Genomic DNA, 9,487 nt, shown 5'->3' on the forward strand with positions numbered 1-9,487 from the left:
TGAGCCACCATTATTGACTGGAGTGTGTTGTGTTGGAACAGAAAACAGAAGTTGAGAGCAATGCCTTTGAGCCTGAAAGTGCCATTCTTGGTGGTTGGATATACCTCTTTGGACAAAGCCACACTTTCCTTATCTGTAGAATGAAGGCTTTGTCCATGGGTTCTCAAATTCTTGATGGTGAAGAAGTACTCTTCTCTTTTTCATCTAAGGCCTCAGCATTGATTGATTGTTAGAGGAGCTGTGCAGTTGGAAAATGTGTGCCTTTGGAAGGCTAGGGGAAGGCAAAGACAGACATTTGTTATTTTGCCTTTCTAGCCATATTCCAAAGAGATGTGGGGTTGAGGAGTGGGCAGCAGCCACTGACTCTGTGCTCTCTCCTTCCTGCTCAGAAGCAACTTAAATGGCTTCTCAGTTTTCTTGCATCCACTATTCTGAAAGGAGGAAGAAATGGTTAAATCAAATGAAGATTCTGGGAAGAGATGATGTCTAAAATTCCTGTCGGGCTTTAGGGGAAGAAGCAAGTACAACTCCTCTCTTGTCCTCCTAAATTCACCAGTTGAGGAACAGACAGAGGAGATAAAAATAAAGGTTTTATTATTGACAGAAGCTGGACTGAAGGAATACTCAGGTGCATGGTCTCAGTGGGGTTTCTGAGACTCCATTTCCAAATGAGACAAATTTACCCACCCAGTTACCAGCCCAGCTGGACTGCTGCTGTCCTCTATAACACAGATGTAGAGTCCACCTGACACATGGCAGGGGCAGGCCCAAAGTGCACCCTCTGTGTGCAAGCAGATTCAAAAGAGAAAGCCTGGAATGGCCCAGCCAGTCAGGTAAGCTGGGGAGAGGTCCGGGTGCCACTCTAGGGAAGCGCGTCTTTCCATGGAACTGTGAGGACTGGTGAATGGGGTTCCTCCCATGCCCCCTTCCATGTCCAATAAACTGTGACTGAGTTTTCCCTTCCTTTATCAATATGCTTGTCCTTCAGGAATATGCTGCTGATAAAATCATAGCTTGCATTTGCTTAGTTCTGCCCTGGCTGTGCACTTCATGTGTGCTGTCTTTAGCTGTCAGAAAGTGGCTTTGTTTTCATCCATTACATGTCTGACTGCATGCAAAGTTTGCCAGCAAAGGTGCTCTGAAGTGCCAGTCACAGTGGTGTTTTTGGTTATGTTCACATCTGGTCCCTTTTGCCTTCCCCAGCACCCGTTCTACTTCAAACCTTCCTAAGACCACCAATCAAATTCATGTAAATCCAACTTTCACAGGGGCCTGCTATACCACAGGTTTTCATTTGCCTAAAGTGCTCATCTGGGTTCCAGAAATTTGGCCAAAGTGTTGGTCACTGAACTTTTATGATCAGTGTTCATGTGGGTAAAATTATAGTAAGAACATTCCCTCTTCCAGCTCCACTTTCACACATGCTCCAGCCACTCTGGGTGAGCATTTTAGTAAATACATTGATTATAAGGCTCTCAGATAAGCTGTTGAAAGTTTATTAATTTTATTCAGCTGTAGTATAACCTTCAGCCACAGGGGAATCTTTGTGTTATGTTTCTTTAACCTCTTGAGGCCTTTGTGGGGGCCATACAGTTTAAACACGACACAGAAACTTGGATAAAGTCCAAAGGAACTTAGCAAAAATGATTAAAGGCATGGAAAATGGGCACTACAAAGAAGAAAACACATTGAGACTGATTATTTGAAAGAAGAATCTGGTGGGGAACAGGTCTTCTTTAGAGTTGTAAAGTATATGAAAAGTTGCTTTGATAGGAAGTACAGCATCTTTGAGTCGGTGCTGAATCTATGGAAGACTATTACTTTGTAAAAAGCACAGAATTGGCCAGGCGCGGTGGCTCACGCCATTAATCCCAGCAATTTGGGAGGCCAAGGCGGGCGGATCACGAGGTCGGGAGATCGAGACCATCCTGACCAACATGGTGAAACCCCGTCTCTACTAAAAATACAAAAATTAGTTGGGTGTGGTGACGTGTGCCTGTAATCCTAGCTTACAGGAGGCTGGGGCAGGAGAATTGCTTGAACCAGGGAGTCGGAGGTTGCAGTGAGCCGAGATTGCACCACTGCACTTCAGCCTGGCAATAGAGCAAGACTCCGTCTCAAAAAAAAAAAAAAAAGTACAGAATCCCCTGACCTCTTCAGAAACAAGGCGATTCTATGAAGAATGGCTTATGTGCTGAGTTATCATAGAATCATAGTGCCAGAAGAAACCTTAGAAAAGATTTTCATTTGTTTATATTTTAAGTATAATTAACATACAACAAAACGTGCAGATCTTAAGTGTTCAGCTTGATGAGTTTATGATGATTGTATACAGCCTAAACCTGATAGAGAACATTCAGTCTCCACAGTAAGTTAGTAAATTCTCTCATACCTTTTTTTTTTTTTTTTTTGAGACAGAGTCATGCTTTGTTGCCCAGGCTGGAGTGCAGTGGTGCGATCTTAGCTCACTGCAACTCTGCCTCCCAGGTTCAAGTGATTCTCCTGCCTCAGTCTCCCAAGTAGCTGGGATTACAGGCATGCACCACCACACTCGGCTAATTTTTTTGTATTTTTAGTAGAGATGGGTTTTACCGTGTTGGCTAGGCTGGTCTCAAACTCCTGACCTCAAGTGATCCACCTACCTTAGCCTCCCAAAGTGCTGGGATTACAGGCATGAGCCACCATGTCTGGCCTCTCATATCCTTTTCTAACCAATTCCTTACCTCCTCCAGCAGCCACTTTGGTGAGACTATGTTAAAGATGGGGAAAAAGAAGCCCCAGATACTGAGTTGCCTGCCTTGGTCACAAGTGAGCCAGTCTGAGAAGACAGTGAAGCCCAGGTTTCCTGATCCCTATGTGGGAACGCAGAAGTGGCTTTCCTGATGCCATTTCTGTGTCCATTTCTATGGGAGCCTTACCCTTCTCACCTGGTCAGAGCTTGATTGCCTTAAAGTCCTGCATTTTTTCCCAGGCTTTGATTACAATGGTACTAATTCACACAACTAGAATCATCTTCATCATCTGAGCTAGTGCCTTTTATGCCCAGAGAGATTCTAACTTGCCTTGTTCCTGATTGGAAAAGGATATGAGAGAACTTACCGTGGAGTCAGAATGTTGTCTATCAGGTTTAGGTTGTATACGATCACCAGAAATTCATCCGGCCAAACACTTTTGGGTGTATCTTTGGCTACCTCAGTATTCTCTAACTTTAGGGTTCTTGGCAGCAGGAAATAATCTTTTCCCATGTTATATTTAGAGAGACCATTAGAATGACCTTTTTGCAAAATTGTGCTGTGGTAGATATAATTTAAGCTTATGCCTCAGCTTTGTCCAGAAGATGCCTGCACACTCCAGTTTCTCTGTGGTTTAACACGATCTGAAAGCTTTGCAATAGAGATTATATGAACTGAAATTACTGTAGCACATTATATACCTGTGTAAATACATGAGAAAAAGATACTGTGGTGGTTAATTTAATCAGTGGCCTTTTTCACTTTGCGAGACCTTTGACCACATTCATGCACAAGCACAGTACTTGTCATTAGGTGGGCATTGCAGCCTTTTTAGTTAAATGTTCACCAACAGGCACCTTGACTCACTCTCTCCACAAAGCAAGGTTATCAATCCAGGGACTTTGGCCAGAATTAAATGTCAAGAATTATATTCTTCATGTCATCTTATTCTGACAAGTTTTTATGGGCCTCCATCCATTTTCTTACTCTCCGTTGTGGTGAAATGCCTTCAGTGCTGGAAGCTGTGTTCTATGAACCATGCTGCTAGAAGGTGAGGCTTATCTGTACCTAGCCATATTGGTCTCCTGAGCGCTGGCCTTGGGTAAGTGAAAGGTACTTCTTACATTTGGAGAGGAATTATTGTTGCATTCTGCCCATATTGGGACATGCCAGCATCTTAAGATTTTTCATTATTCACTGTGAATCAAGTGAGCACCTGTAGTTATAATTGGCTGGGTGCAGTGGCTCATGCCTATGATTCCAGCCCTTTGGGAGGCTGAGGCAGGAGGATCATTTGAAGCCAGAAGTTTGAGACCACTCTGGGTTACAAAGTGAGACCCCATCTCCAGACCCCATCTCTTAAAAAAAAAAAAAAAAGGCTGGATGTGGCATGGCAACATGCCTGTAGTCCTAGCTACTCAGGAGGCTGAGGTAGGAGGATTGCTTGAGCCCAGGACTTGGAGGCTACAGTGAGCTATGACCCTGCCACTGCAGTCCAGCCTGGGCAACAGAGTGAAATCCTGTCTTAAATAATAATAGGCCGGTTGCGGTGGTTCAAGCCTGTACTCCTAGCTGTTTTGGAGGCTGAGGCGGGTGGATCACTTGAGGTCAGGAGTTTGAGACCAGCCTGGCCAACATGGTAAAACCCCGTCTCTACTAAAAATACAAAATTAGCCAGGCGTGGTGGCACACACGTGTAATCCCAGCTACTCAGGAGGCTGAGTCAAGAGAATCACTTGAACCTGGGAGGTGGAAGTTGCAGTGAGCTTAAATCATGCCACTGCCCTCTAGCTTGGAAGACAGAGCTAGATTCCATCTCAAAAAAAAAAAAAATAATGAAATAAATAATGATTAGAGGGGTTTTTCATTGTGTTTGAATAAAAGACATGTTAGCAGGTGAAAAAATGGAGTACTGTTGGATGTAGGTTTGAGTAGATAAGTTCTCTTGAGTCCTGTGAGTCAGGTTCTAGGAATTCTCTTTCAGTTCCGCCTTTGATGGAATAACTGGCAGTGGTCGGATGAAGCAGGCTGGGGTCTGATCTGTTTCCTTAAAAGGCTGGCTCAGTTAAATTTGTTCTGAAAGTGGGTTGGGAAAAATACTGTATCAAAAGTGCCTCTGTATTCCTTAATAACAGCTTTTGATGGGCTGTGTAAAGAACATTTAGATTACTATTCAGTAAAATGGTTTGTGTTCTTTCGAGGAGTTTGAGCCTGTAACTTTCATTTGGTTCATGGTTCTCCCTCAGTCCAAGTCTTTTATTCTAGGTAATCCCAGAATTGGATCTTTAATTTGTGTGTACTGCTCCTTCCTTTCTGAGTTATGAATTGTCTCTAATTTGGAGATTGTTCATATGGTGATACTTGAAAACATCTAACCGAGGGCAGGAATTGTTTGTATTTTGGTGAGAAGTTTTATTGTTTGGAGTCTTTAGAGGTCCCCCCACAACAAAGTTTATTCTAAAACAAGATTTTACTGCTTTCTCTTATCTTAGATTGAAGCTAGTCTATTGATTCAAACACATGAATACGTTTTTGTCCTGTAAATTTTCACTGCTGCACAGAGCCAGTCAAGCCAAGAATTGAAATGAGCAGTCTTTGCTTGTGAGTCTGTCTGAACCTCTGTCTCCTAAAAGTTGTCTACATCTGCAAGATTGCCTCACCTCCACAGCAAGAATAATAAACATGTTTTACCATTTATTTTGTGTTATTCCCAGGCATGTTGGTGTTTGCAGTCACATGGAATACCCCTGCCGCTTCCAGAATGCTTCTGCCACCACCCAGGAGATCATTCCTCATCGGGTCTTTGCCCCTGTGTGCCTCACGGGTGCCTGCCAAGAGACCCTTCTGCGGCTGATCCCTCCTTGCCTCTCAGCAGCACATTCTGTTCTGGGAGCACACCCGTTCTCTCGGCTGGATGTTCTCATCGTCCCTGCCAACTTTCCAAGTCTGGGGATGGCCAGGTATGTTGTTCCATTGTGGCACTTGGGGTACATACATTTTGGAAATTCTTTGACTATGTCTTGCTTTCCTTGAGCTCTGTCAGAGCAGTCATTTGATTAGAATGGAGGGGCTATGGTTGCTCATGCTTGGACATCTCATTGCTGCCTTGAGGGACAATTTTAATGCAGACTCCCTCATGCACGAGCCTTTGAGTGTCATGGGCTCAGTTCAGACTGTGTTGAAAAGAAAAGGCTCACATTGTTGCTGGGATTGAGAATACATAGTGCCCCCTGAGTGGTGACTGTTGGATCATGGCTGATCAGTGGCTGTTAGCTTGGATGATGACAGCATAATGCTAATGAGCCAAAGGTTATAGCATCAGGCTCTGGGCACAGTAACATGACTTGGTCCCAAGGCCACAGGCTACTCACCTAATCCTGACCAGCTGTCTTGTCCATTCTCACCACTGGTCACAAGGGCAATGACTTGAGAGACCCTGAGTCAGATAGACTGTGGATGGATCAGTGTAAATCTATCCCTACTGCTAGAAAAACAGCTCAAAGCAGATGGCTTACTGTGGGGGTTGGAGGAGGAGTCACGTGCTACTATTTTTTAACAAATGCACTTTTGCTGTTGTGTCCTGGTTTGGTTCCCTGTATTTATTTAAGCTAAAATCTATTAATTAATGCCATTGTTCAGTCATTAATGGGTATCTGTGTTCCACTGAGAAAAGATAGAGAATGTACTTGGTTATATTTCCATTTTAAAATCTTAATCATTAGCAGTGAATATGCTTGACTAAGGATGGGAAAAATAAGCTCATCAAAACATGTGACTTCAAGTTTTTCCCTATTAGTCAAGGAAATTCCTGCTGCCAATTAATTCCCATGCTTTTGAGCAGCTGTCATTTGTGGTGTTTTCCCTGAAAACTGCACACATTCTTAGTAAAACCATGAGCAGAAAAGAACTGACCAGAACATTTGCTTTTGATCTTTACTACATGTATGTACTTTAAAGACTGGCTGGCTTGCCTTAATCCTTGAGGAGGTCTGAGAAAGTCATTTAGACTGATTTTTATCCTATGTTTATGAAGATAATGGGAATGCAGGAACTAGGATAATTATATATATTTGGTTACGTGCATCATATAATTGTCTTGGATGTCTATATATAGAATTTTTCTTAATGGAGGGGGGGGCTTCTTTTGTCCCTTTGAAGAGTCTGCTGGCCTTAATTTAAGTAGTAGAGGTGTTGGTGAAAAAAGAGTTGTTCATTAAATGTTTCTTATTTGTACATGGGTTTGAGGGGCCCTATTTACTTGGGAGTTTTTAGCACTTCATGAGAATTGCAGTTTTTTAAGGCATGTTTGCTAGCAGTTCCAAGTTCTGGCCTGAGGGAACCAAAGGCAGAGTATTTTTCATGCACAGGATTCTGTTTTCTATAGCTCCTTCCTGACATCAGTCTGCCAAATACAGAATGAGTTGACCTGCAGGCAATTCTCTAAAGCTTCTCTTTTCAAGTTTGCATGCCCAAGCAGGTAGGCTGTGTGTTTGCTGCTTTTTGCGATATTTGAAGTGATTTAAACATGCTTAACTCTGTATTTTTAGAGTGGCAAGCCTGAGTACCATAAGACCAAATGGTCCTGGGCACAAATTTTGAAAAATATGGTGGTGATCATAACTTAGCAACAACAAGACTGCTTTTATGCTTAAAAGCAGGAGAACCGTATATTCAAAATTTGTGGTTGGTTGTCAAATACCATTTTTTTCCCTTCCTTTTAGACTGTGGAAGTAAAGTCTGCCCAGGTCTAGATGTTTTTCTGGACTTATTACCATTCCCTGGATGAGAGCTGTGGAAGGGGGATTGTGGTCTCTTCCACTGCCAGGTGGGGTGGGGAAGGGAGGTGCTCTGTTTTTCCAAACTCTGGCTTCAATTGATTCTGCTTGCTTGGCTTGACTCTGTCGGGATCCCAACACCTTGGGCTACATGCAGCTGAGTGGGGTTTATGACTCAGCTGGCTACTGGGGCCCTGCTGCTTTATTTATGGTCGAGACTTTGCTTGAGGTTTTATAAAGCAAAGCTAGAACAAAAACGATGGTTTTGTAAGTCAACTTCATACCCTAAACAGGAATAGAGAAACCTCAAGGCTAGGAGGAGTCATCCAAAAAGACCTCCATACTGAAACCTGCCATTGTCTTCTTAGTTATAATATGCTGAGAGATCAAAGGACTTCTTGGTAAATTAAATGGCTCTTTCCCGAGTCCATATTTTATAAACATGTATGCAAGATCGTAAATTCCATACCTCTGGACTTCTTTAGTGATTAGGTCTTAATTATAATGAATACCATTTTATACCATTTCAGTATTCTTTTTTGGCAAATGATATTAAACATTCCCTCATGAACTAAAATGGGTAAATTATTAATCATGTTAAGCAGTTTCTGAGAATTTTAGATAATATAATGATTTCACTATTTTGAATATTACGTATCATAGTTTTTATTGAATAAGCTTAAAAGTCTCCTCTTTGATTCTGTTTTTGAGCTGGATTCTGATATTTCAGTGAAGTGAGGAAAAACACATTTATAAAACTTGAATGTATGATAATGACAAATCAGTTTATAAGAAGGTAAATAATACACAAATAATATTTTAGAATTTCGAATGCTTTTCAAACATGGCAGTAACTAGAACATTTATCAATACTGCTCTTCATGATTTTTGTCACCTTTTAATATAACAGGAGCCATTACTAACTGACCCCCTCCCCTACCCTGGTCCTTTTCCAAATCACTGTTCCAGGGGAGAGGGACTTTAATTCTTTGCTGAGAAAAATCACTAGTTTGCCTTTCAGATGCTTTCCTCAGTGGGTGTGTGTGGGCTTTCAGTTTTTGTTTCATTGTGTTTTTGCCTTCCATGAAGACTGAATCTGCCATATCAGGAACCGTAAAGTATACATTTCTTGACTTGACTACTATGATGTCTGTATGAAGATATGCATGCATTTAAAATGCATCTCTGAAGTACACACAGCTCTCTTCCTGTTGGTTTAATTAATATTCTACTGTTTTCATTGTGTCCTCGTATGTTCTCAGAGTCTCTGCTGGGGATTGACTGGCAAGCCTAGTTTCTTAATTTTGAGAAATAATGAAAGGAGCTCATCATCACACTTACACTCTCTGTTATAACAGCAGTAACGTTAATGGAATCATATTCTAGAACCAGGCATATGACAGTTGCTTAAAAATTAACACCTTAATCTTACCTTTGTATGTGTGTATAGGAAATGCTTTGCTTTGCATTTGTCTCTCAGCAGTTCACAATTACATGTCATGGCATAGTTAGGTTGGCAGAACTACCTAGCTGTCGTCCATATATGTTCTTTTTTTTCCTTGTATTTGAATTTCAAGAATCTCTTGCAACTTATTTCAGAGTGGTTTTCTGTGAAGAGCACTGAAGTTAAAAAACCATGTGCTGTGTAGTTCTGCTTCATGGCTCAGCTGTTCACATGCATCTTCACCCTTCATCCCACTGGGAAAATTGAGGGGAAAAAAATGACTATAGTGTGGCCGATGACAGGTGACAGATTGTTTGAGCTTTTCCCCACCTGTTCTATACCAGATAATCTTGATAATTTGGTTATTGTTTATTTATTCTTGCAATAAATATTTATCAAGCGTATACTGTGTGCCAGATAGTACTTACGATGCAAAGCCTACAAGGGTGAACGAGATAGAGGAGGCCTCTGTCCTTATGAAATGGACATTCTAGTCAGGGGAGAAAATTAGTGTACGTGAAACAAGTAATTAAGAT

General features: G+C 41.7%; 1 protein-coding gene and 1 long non-coding RNA gene across 53 annotated transcripts in view; both read left to right on the plus strand.

Moving 5' to 3' along the window:
* AOPEP (aminopeptidase O (putative)) overlaps positions 1 to 9,487 on the plus strand; it is a 423,526-nt gene that overhangs the window by 68,612 nt on the left and 345,427 nt on the right. For 51 of the 52 annotated variants that reach the window (NR_169862.1, NR_169863.2, NR_169864.1 and 48 more), the window contains one exon: positions 5,447 to 5,692. Coding sequence is in view for 40 of the 52 variants with exons in the window: in XM_011519121.4 (XP_011517423.1) it covers positions 5,447 to 5,692 (246 nt within the window). In the remaining 12 variants the exon portion in view is untranslated. Of the gene's footprint in view, positions 1 to 4,859; positions 4,998 to 5,446; positions 5,693 to 9,487 lie in introns of those variants that run through there. The other variant, XM_011519132.2, reaches the window with a different exon arrangement.
* Positions 5,004 to 5,446, plus strand: LOC124902220 (uncharacterized). The gene is made up of 2 exons (XR_007061676.1): positions 5,004 to 5,134; positions 5,225 to 5,446. It is a non-coding gene; the product is annotated as an uncharacterized LOC124902220 (long non-coding RNA).

This window comes from Homo sapiens, chromosome 9 (genome assembly GCF_000001405.40).
Source record: "Homo sapiens chromosome 9, GRCh38.p14 Primary Assembly".
Lineage (NCBI taxonomy): Eukaryota > Metazoa > Chordata > Mammalia > Primates > Hominidae > Homo > Homo sapiens.